The 19,216-nt window shown below is 48.9% G+C and overlaps 1 protein-coding gene across 7 annotated transcripts in view, besides 1 other annotated feature; it reads right to left on the bottom strand.

The window, feature by feature from the left end:
- Positions 1-19,216, bottom strand: part of SAFB (scaffold attachment factor B) — a 45,396-nt gene that overhangs the window by 3,363 nt on the left and 22,817 nt on the right. For 4 of the 7 annotated variants that reach the window (NM_001201338.2, NM_002967.4, NM_001201340.2 and 1 more), the window contains 12 exons: positions 17,073-17,100; positions 15,617-16,127; positions 15,141-15,190; positions 14,044-14,138; positions 11,852-12,001; positions 11,696-11,778; positions 10,916-11,055; positions 10,660-10,748; positions 7,769-7,875; positions 3,308-3,598; positions 957-1,094; positions 677-719 (listed from right to left, as the gene is read on the bottom strand). In NM_001201338.2, coding sequence (NP_001188267.1) covers positions 677-719; positions 957-1,094; positions 3,308-3,598; positions 7,769-7,875; positions 10,660-10,748; positions 10,916-11,055; positions 11,696-11,778; positions 11,852-12,001; positions 14,044-14,138; positions 15,141-15,190; positions 15,617-16,127; positions 17,073-17,100 — 1,725 coding nt within the window. The remainder of the gene's footprint in view (positions 1-676; positions 720-956; positions 1,095-3,307; positions 3,599-7,768; positions 7,876-10,659; positions 10,749-10,915; positions 11,056-11,695; positions 11,779-11,851; positions 12,002-14,043; positions 14,139-15,140; positions 15,191-15,616; positions 16,128-17,072; positions 17,101-19,216) is intronic. The other 3 variants (NM_001201339.2, NM_001320572.2, NM_001320571.2) reach the window with 1 other exon arrangement.
- Positions 15,443-16,642: an enhancer, noted in NCBI's record as "BRD4-independent group 4 enhancer chr19:5648485-5649684 (GRCh37/hg19 assembly coordinates)". NCBI's record gives its function as "activates an origin of replication core promoter dependent on BRD2, P300/CBP, MED14 and CDK7 cofactors, and independent of BRD4, by STARR-seq in HCT116 cells {active_cell/tissue: HCT116}" and the evidence as "EXISTENCE:reporter gene assay evidence [ECO:0000049][PMID:35650434]".

Raw genomic sequence — 19,216 nt, 5'->3', positions numbered from 1 at the left:
CAGAAAATGCTGGCAGGAGGAGGAAGGGCTCATGAGTGGAGTCCTCAGAGAGGAGGCATCTTCCACACAGCAATGTGCTGCCCCCAAGTTTATAGGGAAAGCCACTAGAGGTCCAAGGCTCTCCTGGGAAGTCTCAGTCTCAATGTAAGATGGAAGGAGAAAATGGAGCTTATTGTTCTAATGTGCTAGCCCCCGAAGAGAATGAGCACAGACCACAGATCTAGTTGTTTTCCAAGGCTAAGCTGGGCCCTGGGGTGATGAAGGATGTCCTTACTTTCAAAAGAGGGCAGGCACTCGAGGACAGACACAGCAACCACAGCCTCCCCAGATGCACCTGTCTGAGTCAGCTGTGCGGCTCACTAGACACTTCCCAGCAGAGCCAGGTCACATCCCAAGGTTCCCTGGCACTGTTGCACATGTGTGGTGAGTGTGGCACACAGAACCCCAGGGTCAAGGCTAAAAACAGCTTCAGAGTAACTGTTTGGACTGACAGCCAAGACTAACCCCAAATAATCCCAAATTTCCATTCCACAAACCTAGACTTTTCTAGTGCTTTACTTTTCTCTTTCCTCATTTTGCCTCTTGCTCAAAGAAAGGGCAGGAAGAAGGCACGCTGAAGGGAAAAGAACCCATTCTATGGGAAATTCTGTGGCTACCACTGTAGCTTCAGACTTACCTGTCCTTCTCGTTCTCCCATCATTGACCTTGAACCTTCTCTCCTGAAAAGGCAATTTAAATCAAACCGTAAGGGGAAGAAGAGGCTTGTTCACAAAGAGAGGACCATCAGGCCCCCAATGAAAAGCATAATTTCCCTAACTGAAGGCAGGAGACCTGCGGGTCTGACTCAGCATACATCTGATGAACGGAGTGGGTTCAGAGAGCCCAGGAGTCCTTGTTCTCAGTCAGAATGAGCCAGGAAAAAGAAAACCCGCACGCCCAGCAGGGGCCCAACTGACCTGTCCACCGAGTGGTCGGGGTAGCGGCCGCGGTCCCTGTGGTCAAAGTCGTGGAAGCGGTCCTGGCGGTTAAAGTCAGAATGGTAGCGCTCATCCAGGGCGGCCCGCTTGGCTTCCGGCCAATAGGCATCATCTCGCCTGTGAGGGGACATGAGACAGAGATAGAGGGATCCCCCACCCCAAATGTATCTATCACCTTTGTGGGAGCTGGCCCCTAGCACTTCACAGAACCAGGATGACTTTCACCAAGAGTGTTCTCTCCTATAGGAGGCAAGGTCTGATTTGACCCCAGTGACTGCACAGTTGTTTTGTTTTGTCCCATGCACCCACCTCCCCTGATGAAAAGCGGCCTCGGTTTTCCAAAGAGGGAGCCATTAGTTAAGCAGTCAGTCCTATGGGCTGCCTGCAGATGGCTTCTGGAGCCCTACACAGCCACCTCCGCTCAGGAAGACCACGTGAGCCTCCACCCCGAGGGGCTCTGTCAAGTGCACCTGCCATCTCTCTCGCCCCAAAGCTGACCTCCTGCCCTGCCAGCAGCCCTGGCCATGTACTGCTGCAATACACAGATGACCATAATGAACTGTCATCAGAAGGATTTCGTACCAAAGCATAATAGATCCTAGAACAGTTTACAAGGCCCTTTATAGAAGTTGCATTGTATATATGACCTGGGCTCCTCTTCAACCCATGCAATAGAAAGAAACAACAAACAGCAATTTTTGCCAGGTTGCAGTGCACGTGTAAAGCCTGACACAATCACTGCTGGAATTACACACCTGACTCCTCACAGCAGCCATGCTCAGCATTTTGTGTTCATACCTCCTCTTCAGTATGTTTGAGAAATTAAAATTAATCTTACTGCCGGGCGTAGTGGCTCATGCCTGTAATCCCAGCACTTTGGGAGGCCAAGGTGGGTGGATCACCTGAGGTCAGGAGTTTGACAGCCTGGCCAACATGGTGAAACCCGGTATCTACTAAAAATGCAAAAAATTAGCCGGGTGTGGTAGCACATGCCTATAATCCTAGCTACTTGGGAGAGTGAAGCAGGAGAATTGCTTGAACCCAGGAGGCGGAAGCTGCAGTGAGCTGAGATCACGCCATTGCACTCCAGCCTGGGCAACGAAAGCAAAACTCCGTCTCAAAAAAAAATTTTTTTTTAATTCTTTATTTCTAGAATAAGCAAAAACAAATTACAATGGATTTAAAAAGCCAGGACAAGGCCGGGGGTGGTGGCTTACGCCTGTAATCCCAGCACTTTGGGAGTCTGAGGTGGGTGGATCACCTGAGGTCAGGAGTTTGAGATCAGCCTGACCAACATGGCAAAACCCCATCTCTACTAAAAAAAACAAAAATTAGCCGGGTGTGGTGGTGGGTGCCTGTAATCTCGAATACTAGGGAGGCTGAGGCAGGAGAATCGCTTGAACCCAGGAGGTGGAGGTTGCAGTGAGCAGCGATCGCGCCATTGCACTCCAGCCTGGGCAACAGAGCGAGACTCTATCTCAAAAAAAAAAAAAAAGGAAAGGGCCTTAAAGGAGGTGCAGTAGGGCACGTGTGGCGCTCTCTACGTGCCTGAGCTTCCCTCCTCAGGAGGTCTGTGCCACCCTTGAACCTGGTTAGTTAACCAGCACTACTTTATCCAGCCTCCTGTCTCTAATTTTTTTTTTTTGAGACCGAGTCTCACTCTATTGCCCAGGCTGGAGTGCAGTGGCACGATCTTGGCTCACTGCAACCTCTGCCTCCTGGGTACACGCGATTTTCCTGCCTCAACCTCCCCAGTAGCTGGGATTACAGGCGCCTGTCACCACGACCAATTTTTTGTATTTTAGTAGAGACGGGGTTCTGCCATGTTGGCCAGGCTGGTCTTCAACTCCTGAGCTAAGGCAATCCGCCCACCCTGGCCTCCCAAAATGTTAGGATTACAGGCGTGAACTAGCGCACCCGGCCTATGCTTCCTTTGAATGAAAGATCTCAAGCTGGCCGGTCGCGGTGGCTCACAGCTGTAATCCCAGCATTTTGGGAGGCCGAGGCAGGTGGATCACGAGGTCAGGAGATAGAGACCATCCTGGCTAACACAGTGAAACCCCGTCTCTACTGAAAATACAAAAAAATTAGCCGGGAGAGGTGGCAAACGCCTGTAGTCCCAGCTACTCGGGAGGCTGAGGCAGGAGAATGGTGTGAACCCGGGAGGCAGAGCTTGCAGTGAGCCAAGATCGGGTCACTGCACTCCAGCCTCCGCGACAAAGCAAGACTCCGTCTCAAAAAAAAAAAAAAAAATCTCAAGCTAACTGGACTGTGAGGTCCCTAACACGATTCTGAACGCCACGTGCTAAGGGCAGCATGGATCTGCTTACCGGTCCAGGTCGTAGGGCCGCCGCACCGCGGGCCGCCGCTCCTGCTCATAGCGCAGTTCCTGCTGGCGCCTCAGCTCCTCGCGCTCACGGTGGATGCGCTCCTGCTCGCGCCTGCGCTCGTGCTCCACGTGCATGCGTTCGCGCTCCAGCCGTTCCCGCTCCATGCGCTCCCGCTCCAGCCGCTGGCGCTGGAAGGCCAGCCTCTCTCGGGCAATCTCCAGCCGCTCACGCTCCTCGCGCTCCCACTGCGCCTGCATGCGTTGTTCGCGTTCACTGCGTTCACGCACCCTGCTGCACAACAGTAGAGCTGCAGAAGGGGACCTAGACACCCCCAGCCAGGTCCCAGGGCTGACTTTAAGTAAGACGCTGGGTCGCACAGACTCCAGGGCTGTGCGTCCACTACGTGGTCTGCAGAACCGTACACTCCAGCGGGAAGAAGGCTTCTCGGGCCCACAGGAGCAGCCCAGGAAGATCTCAGGAGTGAGGCCCAGGCTGTGTGTGTGTGATCAGAACTGGGCCTCCTTTCTCCAACATTTCCTGGAGCTTGACAAGTGATTTCAGGAAACAGCCAGTCAAAAATAAGCAACAGGCCGGGCGCGGTGGCTCACATCTGTAATGCCAGCACTTTGGGAGGCTGAGGTGGGTGGATCATGAGGTCAAGAGATCGAGACCAGCCTGGCCAACATGGTGAAACTCTTGTCTCTACTAAAAATACAAAAATTAGCTGGGCATGGTGGCACGCACGCACCTGTAGTCCCAGCTACTCCGGAGGCTGAGGCAGGAAAATCACTGGAGCCCGTGAGGCAGAGGTTGCAGTGAGCCACTGCACTCCAGCCCGGCAACAGAAAAAAAAAAAAAAAAAAAAAAAAAAGCCACAGAGTATATGCTTCATAGCGAGTGAGTGTGAATTGGAACCTTCACTCCCTAGACCACAGGATGAAATGAGTCTTTGTGAGGTGGGGCTAGCAGGCCCCCCAAGTGTAAGGACATTAGCAGCTGTATCTTTTGGATACAGATGACATTTTAGTGCATTTCTCCAGTCTTTGTATATAAAACAGAACAGACAGGAGCCAGGCTGTCTTTTTTTTTTTTTTTTTTTTTTTTGGTAGAGATGGTTGCCCAGGCTGTTCTCGAACTCCTGAGCTCAAAACAATCTGCCCGCCTCCACCTCCCAAAGTGCTGGGATTATAGGCATGAACCACTGTGCCCAGGCTCAGATTTTCTTCTTTCGATCCTTTACCTACACAGTTATAGATATACAGCCTGGACAATATAGTGAGACCCCGTCTCCAGAAAAAATAATATTAGCCAGGCGTGGTAGCTACTTGGGAGGCAGAGGTGGGAGGATCAATCACTTGAAACCAGGAGGTAGAGGCTGCAGTGAACTATGATTGCACCACTTAACTCCAGCCTGGGTGAAAGAGTGAGACCCTGTCTCCAAAAAAAAAAAAAAAAAAAAAAAAAAAGGTGTGTGCAGGGAGCTACTTAAAAAAAAAAAGCACCTCAGTGCAGTATACCAACTACTGACACAGCATTTTCATTGTATTAGAAGTTATCTAGAAGTGATTTAAAGTGTACAGGAGGATGTACATGGGTTATATGCAGAAATACCACACAGTTTTATATCAGAAACTTGATCCTCTGCAAATTTTGGTATCCACAAGGGTACTGAGGCCAGTCGTTTCTGGGACAACTGTGTGTTTCTGTCCCAGCAGAAATGTATAATCTTGCCTCATAGTGTTCTGGACTCAAATGACTGCAACCTCCTTAGTTCACCCAACATGTCTTGGATCCGCCCACACCTGCCTCTGTGGATCTCAGCACCTTCCGGAGGAGCCCCTAGTATGAAAGGGCTGCGGTTTATGGGAACTTTTCAGTTGTGTCCAAATGCTCACAACCTGACGGGATACCCAAGCCCACACTTCCTTGTTCATAGGTTCCTCTACGCCAGATATGGAGAGGGGCCTAGGGTCTGGAACACTCTAGTGTTTAGCACGGCAGGCTCCTGTGGGGGCCCCCCAGGCTGCCCGTGTTCATTACTCCCCCAGCAGAAATGCCACCTGCCAATGCCTGCACTCACAGGACTATGGGAGACTTTGTTTTTTTTTTTTTTCTTTTTAAAGGAATAGGCTGGGCGCAGTGGCTCACGCCTGTAATTCCAGCACTTTGGGAGGCCGATGCGGGTGGATCACGAGGTCAGGAGATCGAGACCATCCTGGCTAACACGGTGAAACCCCGTCTCTACTAAAAATACAAAAAATTAGCTGGGCATGATGGCAGGCGCCTGTAGTCCCAGTTACTAGGGAGGCTGAGGCAGGAGAATGGTGTGAACCCAGGGGACGGAGCTTGCAGTGAGCTGAGATCGTGCCACTGTACTCCAGCCTGGGAGACAGAGCAAGATTCCGTCTCGGAAAAAAAAAAGGGAATAAAAGGGTGATAACTTTATAGGCAGAGCAGTGCCCTCTCCCCCTCCTTTTAAACTAATTGTCCTTATTTCTTATTTGAGACAGCGTTTTGCTCTTGTTGCCCAGGCTGGAGTGCAATGGTGGAATCTTGGCTCACTGCAACCTCCACCCCCTGGGTTCAAACGATTCTCCCGCCTCAGCCTCCCAAGTATATGGGATTACAGACATGCACTACCACGCCCAGCTGATTTTTTTTTTTTTTGAGACGGAGTCTCGCTCTGTCACCCAGGTTGGAGTGCAGTGGCGCAATCTCGGCTCACTGCAACCTCCACCTCCTGGGTTCAAGTGATTCTCCTGCCTCAGCCCAAGTAGCTGGGATTACAGGCACGCACCACCATACCTGGCTAATTTTTGTATTTTTAGTAGAGATGGGGTTTCACCACGTTGGCCAGGCTGGTCTTGAACTCCTGACCTTGTGATCCGCCCACCTCGGCCTCCCAAAGTGCTGGGATTACAGGCGTGAGCCACCGCGCCCGGCCCCCCGACCCCCCCTTTTTTTTTGAGATGGAGTCTTGCTCTGTCGCCCAGGCTGGAGTGCAGTGGCGCGATCTTGGCTCACCACAAGCTCTGCCTCCCGGGTTCACGCCATTCTCCTGCCTCAGCCTACCGAGTAGCTGGGACTACAGGCGCCCGCCACCACGCCCAGTTCATTTTTTGTATTTTTAGTAGAGACAGGGTTTCACCGTGTTAGCCAGGATGGTCTCGATCTCCTGACCTCGTGATCCGCCAGCCTCGGTCGGCCTCCCACAGTGCTGGGATTACAGGCTTGAGCCACCGCGCCTGGCCTACATGCCCAGCTAATTTTGTATTTTTAGTAGAGACTGCGTTTCACTATGTTGGTCAGGCTGGTCTCGAACTCCTGACCTCAGGTGATCCACCAGCCTCGGCCTCCCGAAGTGCTGAGATGTGAGACACTGCGCCCAGGGGGGTCCTTACTTTTAAAACTAAAGTTAACGAAGTATTTCATAGAAAAAATAAATTAGCTGTAATTCGCCAATAACGTTTGTGTTTACTTCTTGACTTATTTAAGAATGAGGCCCTGTCAGTCCTTGGAGCAGTGGCTCATGCCTGTAATCCCTGCACTTTGGGAGGCCGAGGCAGGCAGATCACTTGAGGTCAGGAGTTTGAAACCAGCCTGGCCAACATGGCCAAACCCCATCTCTACTAAAAATACAAAAATGAGCCGGGTGTGGTGGCTTGCGCCTGTAGTCCCAGCTACTTGGGAGGCTGAGGCAGGAGAACTGCTTGAACAGGGGAGGTGGAGGCTGCGGTGAGCTGAGATCATGCCACTGCACTCCACCCTGGGCGACACAGACTCCATCTCAAAAAAAAAGGAAGCCCTCTCAGTGCCCTCGCTGGGTCTACCTCACTGTCTCTCTTCCTGCTTTCACATCTTCTGGAGCAAATTTGGTATTTTTTGTTGACGAGCACTACTGACGCTGGAAGGCATTCCATCTCCCTGCCTTTGTTACCTTCTACAATCTTTGGGAAGAGACTTATTTGAAAAGAGCTGTAAGTAGGCCGGGTGCAGTGGCTCACGTCTGTAATCCTGGCACTTTGGGAGGCCAAGGCAGGTGGATCACCTGAGGTCAGGAGTTTCAGACCAGCCTAGCCAACATGGTGAAACCCCGTCTCTACTAAAAATACAAAAATTAGCCAGGTGTGGTGGCGCACGCCTATAGTCCCAGCTACTCAGGAGGCTGAGGCTGGAGAATTGCTTGGAGGCGGAGGTTGCAGTGAGCCGAGGTCACGCCACTGCACTCTCCAGCCTGGGCGCGACACAGCAAGACTCTGTCTCCAAAAAGAAAAAAGAAAAGAAAAGAAAAGAGCCGTAGGATGAAAGTTAAAACATAACAAGTCTATGAACTGAAAGCTGAAGGAGCAAAAAGGTTCACAGCTCTATCCCACCCCAGGGAACTCTGCAAACATCCTTCCAGAAGACAGTCATGACCACATTCTAGGAAAAACACCAAACCGTTCCTGGATCCCTACTCACCTATGGGACTCTGAGTCTCTTGACTTCCGAGGCTCCTTGACCTTATCAAAGGACACGACGGACCGCTTCTCTCTGCTGGCTGATTTGCGATCCTGGCTTTTGGAAGCCTAGTTCACCAAAGAACATTAAAAAGTTAAAGCAGAGGCCAGGCACGGAGGCTTATGCCTGTAATCCAAGCACTTTCAAAGTTCAGGGCGGGTGGATCACTTGAGATTGGGAATTTGAGACCAGCCTGGCCAACATGGTGAAACCTTGACTCTACTAAAAATATAAAAATTGCCGGGCGCAGTGGCTCACACCTGTAATCCCAACACTTTGGGAGGCTGAGACGGACAGATCACGAGGTCAGGAGATTGAGACCATCTTGGCTAACACGGTGAAACCCCGTCTCTACTAAAAATACAAAAAAATTAGCCGGGCATAGTGGTGGGAGCTTGTAGTCCCAGCTACTTGGGAGGCTGAAGCAGGAGAATGGCGTGAACCCGGGAGGCAGAGCTTGCAGTGAGCCAAGATCGAGCCACTCGACTCCAGCCTGAGTGACTGACTGAGACTCCGTCTCAAAAAATAAATAAATAAAAATAAATAAATAAATAAAAAATAAAAATTAGCTGGGCATGGTGGCGCATGCTTGTAATCTCAGTTACTTTGGAGGATGAGGTGGGAGGATCCCTTGAACCTGGGAGGCAGTAGTTGCAGTGAACCGAGGACGCGCCACTACACTCCAGTGTGGGCGACAGAGCGATACTCTGACAAAAAAAAAAAAAAAAAAAAATTGCTGGCGCAGTGGCTCACGCCTATAATCCTACCACTTTGGGAGGCCGGGACGGGTGGATCACTTGAAGTCAGGAGTTTGAGACCAGCCTGACCAACATGGAGAAATCCTGTCTCTACTAGAAGTACAAAAATTAGCCGGGCATAGTGGCAGGTGCCTGTAATCCCAGCTACTCAAGAGGGTGAGGCAGGAGAATCACTTAAAAACCCCCGGGAGGTGGAGGTTGCAGTGAGCTGAGATTGTGCCACTGTATTCCAGCCTGGGCCACAGAGTCAGACTGTCTAAAAAATAATAATAACAAATAAAAAATAAATAATAAAATAAAAAAATGAAAAAAGTTAAAAGTAGGTGTGATAGGGGAACAGGAAGAATCAGGTATATATATCCATGCCTAACCATCAGATGTGGAGGTCCTATGTGATGAATAACTTTTAGTGAAAAACAGATGAGCTGTTTAATCCAAACAAGCCTTACATTTTGCTTATCATAATTGAAAGACACAGAATTTCATCAACATTTAATGCTAAAATATGATCTAACAGTACATTTAATAGAGAAAAAATGGAAATGAGTATTGCCCCCGAAAACTTCATATAAGATCAAAACACCAATTTTTTATGTCTTTTGCTTCAAAAATAAATTTCTTAATTTTCCTTTTTCCTTCAATAATTAAACACACAATGAGTTCCCAAATGAAGCACTTCCGGTACACTTGACAAGTACCTTATTTGTGCCAATGACATTGTTAAGAGACCTTCTCATTTTATCCCTAGAACCCACACTTTCCTTTTTCCGTTTTCCAAAGGTGTTTTATAGAACAAGGGTAAAAGGCTATGACATATTATAATACTGGCACACAGAGACTGAAAGCTCCTAAGCAATCCGCTCCATTCACCAAGTGAAATGGTTCCTCCTCCGTGCAGCTGAGGGTTGACCAGGCGGGTCCAAGGTCCCTCTCCTTCCTTAAGGAGGGGCTGCTGCCAAGATTGGTCCTTGGCTGGCAACTGGGAAGTTGGCTCTCAGAGTGTCCCCAGTTGACAGTTAACCAGTAAGGGTGGCTCGGTGTGCACAGACCATGCAAATAATAGGTGTGTGTTTTTTTTTTTTTTTTTTTTTGAGATGGGGTCTCACTCTCTCTCCCAGGCTAGAGTGCAGTGCAATGAACGTGGCTCACTACAGTCTTGACCTCCCAGGTTTAAGTGGCATTCTCCCACCTCAGCCTTTTGAGTAGCTGGGACCACAGATGCATACCACCGAGCCTGCCTAATTTTTAAATTTCTTGTGAAGATGGGGTCTTACTATGTTGCCCAAGGTGGTATCCATCTCCTGGGCTCAAGTATCCTCCCAGCTCAGCATACCAAACTGCTGGGATTACAGGCATGAGCCACCATGCTCAGCTCACACTGCAGCCCAGCAAGAAGATAAGAGTACAGGAAGGGGTCAAGGTGGAGAGCAGGCTAGAGGGAGGCTGGCGAGATGGGCCAGGTCACCATGGCATGCTCCACACTGCTGGGTGTAGGAATGCATCACGGGGAGGTGCTGACACTTTCAGGGTAGACAGGGAACGTGGACTGCCACACACCGACTCAGGGAAAAGCCAACAGTCCCATATGTAAATTTTAAAGTTAGCTTTAGAAAATAAGTTAACAGTTATCAGAGCAAAAGTAAGGATAAAGGAAAGCTTTCTGCATTTCTTAAAATAATTTGAGGCTGGGCGCAGTGGCTCATGCCTGTAATCCCAGCACTTTTGGGAGGCCGAGGCGGGCGGATCACCTGAGGTGAGGAGTTCGAGGCCAGCCTGGCCAACATGGTGAAACCTTGTTTCTACTAAAAAGATAATGGTGTGCGCCTGTAATCCCAGCTACTCGGGAGGCTGAGGCAGGAGAATCGCTTGAGCCTGGGAGGCGGAGGTTGGAGTGAGCCAAGATCGCACCACTGCACTCTAGTCTGGGCAACAGAGTGAGAACCTGTCTCAAAAAAAATAGTTTGAGATTTCTACATTTTCGAAACGGCCGACAAAAGCTTTTTTCAAATGAAGCTTAGTAATTCCCTAAGACGCACACAGAAATACAAACTGAAAAGAAGAGCAAAATACCCTAGTTAGAAAATTAATACTCACTCTCTCTTTGGACCCGGACGTTTTTACACTAATCACAGGCACCCCTTTGGATTTATCCATTACTACAGTCCGTTCGGTCCCTCGACTTCCTACAGAAAAGACGGGGAAAGTGTAAGTGGAAAACCAAGAATACCCAGATGAGAAAAACCCTCTGCAACATGAATCCAGTTTCCGTTGCCAGCTAATCACAGCAAACTAACAAACTCCACTAGGCACAGAAACAAGACAGAATCTCCTGGGCTCATGAGCTGCCCACCTGACTTTGTGGCTCGAGATCGCTCTGAGGGGCCAGGTTTCTGATCATCTTGGTCCTTACTCTTTTCTCCACTTCCGTCGTCACCCTTCTTAGCATCATCTTTTCTGTCACATTTATCATCCCTCTTAAGGTTTGTAGATCTATAAAAAACAGACATGTTGGCTGGGCGTGGTGGCTCATGCCTGTATTCCCAGCACTTTGGGGGGATGAGGCGGGCGGATCACATGAGACCGGGAGTTCGAGACCAGCCTGGCCAACATGGTGAAACCCCATCTCTACTAAAACCACAAATGGGCATGGCTATAATCCAAGCAAATCGGGAGGCTGAGGCATGAGAATTGGTTGAGCCAGGGAGGTGGAGGTTCAATGAAAAGAGATCTTGCCACTGCACACCAGCCTGGGCAACAGAGTGAGATTCTGTTTAAAACACCCTGCCCCGGCCAGGCATGGTGGCTCACGCCTGTAATCCGAGCACTTTGGGAGGCCGAGGCAGGCGGATCACAAGGTCAGGAGTTCAAGACCAGCCTGGCCAATATGGTGAAACCCCATCTCTACTGAAAATACAAAAATTAGCCGGGTGTGGTGGTGCACACCTTAGTCCCAGATACTCAGGAGGCTGAGGCAGGAGAATTGCTTGAACCCAGGAGGTGGAGTTGAGGTGAGCCGAGATCACACCACTGCACTCCAGTCTGGGCGACAGAGCGCGACTCCATCTCAAAAACAAAACAACAACAACAAAAAACACCCTGCCCCTTTAATTTAGCCAGGAAGGAGGGGTACCTGTCACTGTTGCTCGACTTCTCCTTTTTCCCGTCACTGTCTCTTTTGTCAGAGGTTTTCTTTCCCACAGGTTCATTTTTGGCCTGAAAAAGAGAATCAAGTATTACCCCCATTTCCTAATGTGGGCTATATCCTGGGAAGAAAACGGCCACTCACTTTCTCCACGGAGATCATCTTTCCGTGGAGCTCCGTCTTGTGCAGGTGGTTAATGCATTTTGTGGCCTCTTCTGCTGTGGACATCGTGACAAAACCGTAACAGCGAGCTCCAGGACTCCGGGCATTTGTCACAACCTTGGCGCCCACCACCTCAAAGGAAAGCAGGCAAATATGACTCAGACATGAAGCCCACTGAGCGGGGCATGGGGATATGAACACCCCACAGGGAAGTCTGCTCATCAGGGGTCCGACAAGTGTTAGACTGGGGAGGACAATGCTACTAATGCTTCTGTTTCGCTGTTGTTCCTCCAAGGACCTCTGGCCAGTTCTAATCGCTCATCTAGTTCCTCAAGGGGGCCAGGAGGGCAATGTAGGGGAACAGACGAAAGGGAAATCAAACAGGGTTCTGCCAGTGTTCCTTTAATATGGTCTAAAACTTGTGAAGAAATGATTCCAAATATACAGTCATGCTACGTAGGTGGTAAATTATGAAGTGATGTAATGTGGGCAAAAAAAGAAAAAAGAAAAAAAAAAGACTTCGGCACAGACTGATGCAAGGAAAGGTCTGTGAGCCGTGCTCTGGAACTCAGATCTGCCCTATCATTGACTGTAACAAAACGCAGTGATGTGTTTCAGTTACTGTAGACACATCCTTTCCAGTCTACCTGGTTTTCTCGACTCCAGCAGGATGCAGTTAGGGTCGCCCTTTGACGGCAGAAGACACCATGGCTCAGGAAAAGCCCTGCAGCAGCCAGTGGCCGAGGCTGGTAATCATGCTCATCATGCCACATGGAATCCTAGTCCCAGAGGACATTCTCAGAGAGGCCCGGTCCTCTAATTAACCCACATCAGGCCTGCTGCGCTCAAGACACTACAGTCTCCAGGGCAACACTTCCCCACTGAGCACACCCACCCGCTGGGGGACGCCATGGAGTCAGGAAAGGGGGTCTAGTAGGGGAGACTTGGCGCAGGTGTTGCCAGCCACACACCTTGTATCACTGAGGCTCAAGAAGCCCTTAGTTATGTCCGTAATAATGACATAATTAGTTTTATCCTTTTTTTTTTTCTTTTTTTAAGATGGAGTCTTGCTCTGTCCCAGGCTGGAGTGCAGTGGCACGGTCTCGGGTCACTGCAACCTCCACCTCCTGGGTTCAAGTTGTTATCCTGCCTTAGCGTCCCAAGTACCTGGGATTACAGGCATGCGCCACCACGCCCGGCTAATTTCTGTACTTTTAGCAGAGACAGGCTTCACCATACTGGCCAAGCTGGTCTCAAACTCCTGACCTCGTGATCCACCCACCTCGGCCTCCCAAAGTGCTGGAATTACAGGCGTGAGCCACCACACCCAGCCTGTTTTATCCTCTTTTAAGTTCTTCGAAGTCAGTATCAGGGAAAACACTTGGTTTTCTATATTGCAATGTGTTGAACCCTCACTGTGTAACACAAAGGATTGGACTCCTTCCTTTGGTAGTCCCCGAAACCGACTCTGAGAGAGACGAGGAGCCCTGAATGCAGGAGGCTGTTTGGGAGGCAAGTCTGGGAAACACCAGGGAGGAAGGGAGTGAGAAAGCACAGGGAGGAGGGCCAGGCGGCTGCGCTGGGCACTGCAGGTAGGGGGCTGGTGCCACCAGCCCCACCTTCACGGGCTCAGGAAAGGCAGGTGCTGCAGACAAGAGGCCACTAGAACTGCCCCCAGTGGTGAACTGAGGCAGCAACTTTGAGAGCCCCCAGCTGCTGAGGTGAGGTTCAGTCAATGGACCCAAGACACCCGTGGTGAGGACCCCTATCATCAGACTCCAGGGTCCCTGTTCTGAGTTCTGAGTTCCAGCATCACGAACACTGTTCTAAGAACACTGCTGTCTCCCAGACATGCTGACCAGCACCCCACCAGCCAACCCTGGCAGCCCAGCCTGAGTGCGACGTCCTGAGGACACAGAAATGGATCCACGAGCCATCACAGGGAAGGGGGCAAGCTCGCAGAGAAGGGAGGGAAATACAGTGGTGATGTGGGCTCTGGAAGCTTCCACACCACTCTCACCTCTACCTGTGGACGGGCAGACCCTCCCCAGCCATTAGCAAGTGTAAGCTCCTTGGTATCTCTCAAAGAACTCACTGAGGGGAGAGGACCTCCATGTAAAGGCCACACAACGCTGGTTTCAAAGTATCTTCTCCAGAAAAGCTCTGGCACTTACCTTCCCATATTTGCTGAAAAGATTCTTCAAATCTGTAGCTCTGGTTGTAGAAGAGAGTCCACTAACCCAGAAATTTCTACCACAACTGCTGCGACCTATTTCAAAAGAAAATTCTAGTAAAAACCCAAATACCCACAAGATCTTGAGTCTTAGAGACAACCTTTCCAAAAGAGACATGGTTCCCATTTTTCCTGAGGCAGTGGCAGCACTAAAAGCCAAATGGGGCTGTGGGCCTGACCACTATCCTCACCAAGAGCCTCCAGTGCAACACCAGGCCCAGCAGCACTACCACAGGGCCCGTCACAATACTGAGTGGGGCTATTGGGACAATGTGAGGTTTCCTAAGAAAGTTAGCAATTGCGGGCCGGGTGTGGTGGCTCACGCCTGTAATCCCAGCACTTTGGGAGGCTGAGGTGGGCGAATCACGAGGTCAAGAGTTCGAGACCAGCCTGGCCAACATGGTGAAACCCCATGTCTACTAAAAATACAAAAAATCAGCTGGGTGTGGTGGCGGGCGCTTATAATCCCAGCTACTCAGGAGGCTGAGGCAGGAGAATCTCTAGAACCCGGGAGTCAGAGGTTGCAGTGAGCTGAGATCGCGCCACTGCACTCCAGCCTGGGCAACAGAACAAGACTCTGTCTCAAAAAAAGTTAGCGATCGCTTAATTACAGGAGGAAGTGCAGTGTGCAACGGCCATGTAGCAGAACAGTCAACCTTGGTGTCAACAATGCACTGTTTCTCTTTCCACGTATAGCTCTGTATCTATCCCATGTTTTTACTCCTTTAGAACACTGATTAAGAAGGAATTTGGTAGGGTAAAATTATTTCTCAGTTAATGCATTTAATGAAGGGTTACAGGATGAATGTGCTCCCAACACAAGGATCTGCACCAAATCAGCCTGTTAACTCTTAGGACCTGGTATGCTTCCTACAACCCAGAACCTGTAGCGGTAACAGCAGAGAAGGAGAAAGACTGCACAAACGTCTCAGGAGTCTCCTGGGTAAGGAGCATAGCACGCGATGAACCAGAATCAAATACCCGCCACTGCCCAGGCCATACATGCTCCAAGGGACTGGTGTCGCCGAGGTGACCTACCCTTTTCCTCTTTGGAAAGCCTTTTTGTATCCGAGTCATCTTCGGGAGAACTAGAGACAAAAGACAATGTCACTCCACAAGGAAGCAGCATGGAGGAAACAAACTCAAAACCATAAAATTCGTGCTGAGGTTGCATACCTACCCGAAATTTAGTTCTGAAAAAATGATACCCCGACAAACTTGTATTGAAAATCTGACCTAACCATAAGATTTCAGACCCACAGGAGTTAATTAATTCTGCTGGGCTAAAGGTAATTAGGAAGAATTTAAGAACACAACCATGGTAGGTTGAGAAAAAGAAAAGGAATTGAATCACCCATTAAAAACACACAAAGAGAAACGAAACATTCTTTAGAAGCAAAACTACAATTTCGTCAGTCTGGCTGGCCAATTGCAGAAAAAAACAGCTTATGTGTGTCATTACATGACCAATGAAAAGGAGATAGCGTCTGGTCTAAAACTGAGAAAAAACAAACCTCATTTTCTGATCAGCGCCCTCACTGGTTGAGGACTCTTTAGGAGCCGGAGGGACTTCATTACAAGCGTCAAAATCAAACTTCCTCCCGTCTTCTTTGCTATCTCTGGCTTCTGGGCTTGGGGCTTCCGTGGGTGCTTCTGCGAGCTCCTCGCTAGAGGCCTCCGCGAGCTCGGAGGCCGCACTACTCTGCTCAACTGCCGGCTCTAGCCCTACAGGCTCACAGTCCGTCCTCTCGCCATCGCCTGGCTGCTCCGCGGGCTCCCTTTTCACTACCGCTAACAGGCTGTCTGCCTTGCTCGACTGAGCGTGTGCTGTTGACTCGCTGGCCAAATCTAAATCACCCTCTTCCGGATGGGCGCTGTCAAATAGGTCCTCTTCCTCCGCAAGCTTTCTGTCTGGCCCCACGCTACTTGTGTCCTGTGCAAATGGCTGCTCCAGCTCGGAACTTTCTTCTTTTACTGGCTCAGATTTACAAGTTTCCCCCAAAATGTCGAGTATTTTCTCATTTTCTACGGATTTAACAGGAATAGAATGGCACAAGGTTTAATTACCAGGGAAATAAAGCAATCACAAATGTGGAACTGGCACGGCTGCCACACTAACACGAAGAGAACTGCTAGCTACACAGAGATTGGAAAACCCGCGGGTACACAAAGTTATACTGGTTACACTACCTGCGCCGCGACCGCCTCTAGGTAAGCCTCTACGCTACACGGAAGAGAAAAGCATCCCAGAGATTTAACCCCCAAAACCTTCTGGCTGATTCTTGACAGTCTTCATTCTGTCGTCGTTTAGATATGACTCTTCCAAATTTAGCTTCCAAAGTCCAAGTTGCTTAACTGAATGTATCACCATTCACTGAACAGCTCAATTTCCAAATTTCTTTGAATTTCTTTTAACAGAACAGTCCAACATGAAAACCAGAATCTCTTCCATCCGTGCTCTGAGATATTTGCAGTCCAGAAAGTGAACAGTGTTTGGAATTCTCATGAAGACACTCTTTCCTCTTCTGGAATCCAGTTATGTCTCAAATTTATGTTTTAAAATGTATCTCCCTACCACTACCTGAGCTGCCTCAATTAAAAACAACAAAATTAAGCTACTGCCCAATATCACAAGATCTGTTTTGTGGGTGCAGAGGTATTAGCTCTCAAGAGAGGCATCTGGAACTCTTTCTCTATGTATGATTCAATGCTGTTGATATTCAAAAAGGCATGAGATACTTTCATCTCACCAATACATTTTGTAAAATGAGAAGTGAGCCACTTTCACAGATCTGGTGATATGGCTGGGTTTCCAATCTCTATGATCCTGGTAGGTTTTGGATTGTAAACCTTTAGAACAATGTATACTATAGTAAGGTAACTTTTAAAAATCAAAGAATTCAAATTAGAGAAGGTGGAAAACTAGAATGGTTCCAAACCCCCGCTGGTAAGTTTTTCATTTAACAGTACCTGGCTCCAGGGATGGCTCTTCAATTTCCTGCAAGAAAAAACGTAAATAAGACTGTGCCAGATGAATGACACCTACAGTTTATTTAAATGAAAACCCAGAATAACTAAAGAGGGAATTTTAAAAATCCAGGGAGGGAAACTCACAAACTCAAGAGGTGGAGAACCTGCTTGTTCTAGGAATGGCTCCATAAGACTGGCATCCACTTCACTCAGCCCACCCTCCATTCAGTCTCCCCTGCAGGAGCCTGGAACTGGTCTCACTTCATGGTGAGGCACTCATCATAAGCACGCCTGACCCTCTAGATTGAACTCTCAAATTCAAGGAGAGCAGTGTTTTCATTTTTCTACTGTTAGCATCTAGAGGAATGCATGGCACATTAACAGTCACTTTTTCACTCAATGAAGCTACGACAACTTTCTGATATTCGAAAGACTGAGGGAATATGGGCCCAGGTGGTATGACTCCTGCTCTTACTTGGCATGGTGGTGCCAGCATGAAAAACTTTGTAAATACCCTCCCTCCTTCATCTCCTCTTCCAATCAGTGTTCCCACCAGGCCAGTTCTAGAAGTCATTCAGACTCTTCCCAGGAAGCCCTGTCCACTCAGGCTGGTGCCATCCTTGCCTACTGTGGCATCTGGTTGTATTATCCCCATCCCATCTCTCTGCACCTTGTGTCCACAGTAAGCTCATGTCCCTCTGTGGCCTTCAGCCTTCAGCCAATGGATCCCTATGCCACCTCCCTCCCTGACAGGCCCAGCCCTCCCCTGCCCCGTCCAGCCAAGTCATCCACATCCCTCAGTATCCAGCTCAGTGGCATCTCCTTTCAGGAAGGCTTTCCCTATTTCCCTCTAACCCAACTCCAGCTGTGCCCCACTAAGCAAAGGAGCTTTTTCCACATGATGTGATCCCCCAGCCTTTATGTTTCCTGTGCACACAAGGTACACTCCTCTGGAATTCCAGTCAACTGATGGGCACTGACTAGGTTCCAGGCACAAATGTAAGCACCTTACATACACACAGACTCGTCATCGGTTGCAGGAGGTTGGTCCTAATGGTAGCACCCTTCTTTTTACAGAGTAACAGACTGTGACCAGACAGACTGAGTAACTTGCCCAAGGACACACAGCAGGTGGGAAGCAGAGACAGGCTCTGAGCAAAGGCCGTGTATGAGTGTGAGTCTGCACTGTTAACCATCAGGCCAGGCCCCACGAGCATGGGGACCACCCTTCCTTCTCATTCATCTATGTAATGCTGGTAGTTAATGCCACACCTGACACATCACAGGGGATTCACATATACCCAATAAGTAGGTGTGACTGAATTATAACTTCCCCTGGGAACTGCCCTGCCATTCCAGGATGCTCTATGAAACTGTACACTTTCCTCATGCTTTCACTTATTTTTAATCAGTTTTTTCCCCATGTACCCTACCCCATGCTGGGAATTCTGACCATAGGACTGAAGCAAATCATCAATGTTGGCAGAATAATTCTTCCTCATTTTCTCTAAAGAGAAGCAAATACATTCCTATTTGTTTAGGAGAGACTGTAGGTTTCCCATTTTAACATGGGAGACTGTGACCAAGAAAGAGCCAGGGGAAAGTGACAAGATCCGGCTCCTCCTCTCCTTTCTGAGTCGGGAATGGCCGTGTCAATTTGCAGGTGGAGAGACGGCAGCTCTAAAAGCGAACTGGGTTTCACCACGTTTTCTTGAGATTTGTGCCCTCCTCAAGGTTGGAGCTCTGGCTTTCCAGTATCTCCCTTGCCCTTGCATGGCAGAAGCAAATGGAGATCTTTTCCAAAAGGGGATTTCTAATTACAATAACATAGATGACATTTAAAAAGAAGACGGGAAAAAAAATAAATAAATAAAAAGGCTGGGCAAAAGCTGGCTCGATCTTCATTTCTCCACAAAAAGTTCTCCTAAGAATTAGCCAGCTACCTAGGTAAGTGTGTTCTAACAATTTGTATCTATGTAGGCTGGAAAAAAAAAGGAAACTCAAGACCCACAAATATAAAAATCATACCTGGAAATTCTCAACTCATCTGTTCTCATCTAAGATTTAATATTTACAGAGATGCCAATGAAACAGGTAGGATGATACAGTCATTAAATGAAATCTGGGCAATTTCAGAAAAAACA

The sequence above is a fragment of the Homo sapiens genome, chromosome 19, assembly GCF_000001405.40.
Source record: "Homo sapiens chromosome 19, GRCh38.p14 Primary Assembly".
In the NCBI taxonomy this organism is placed as follows: Eukaryota; Metazoa; Chordata; class Mammalia; order Primates; family Hominidae; genus Homo; species Homo sapiens.
The sequence above is the reverse complement of the archived record's forward strand: the minus strand, read 5'-3'. Positions and strand labels throughout refer to the sequence as shown.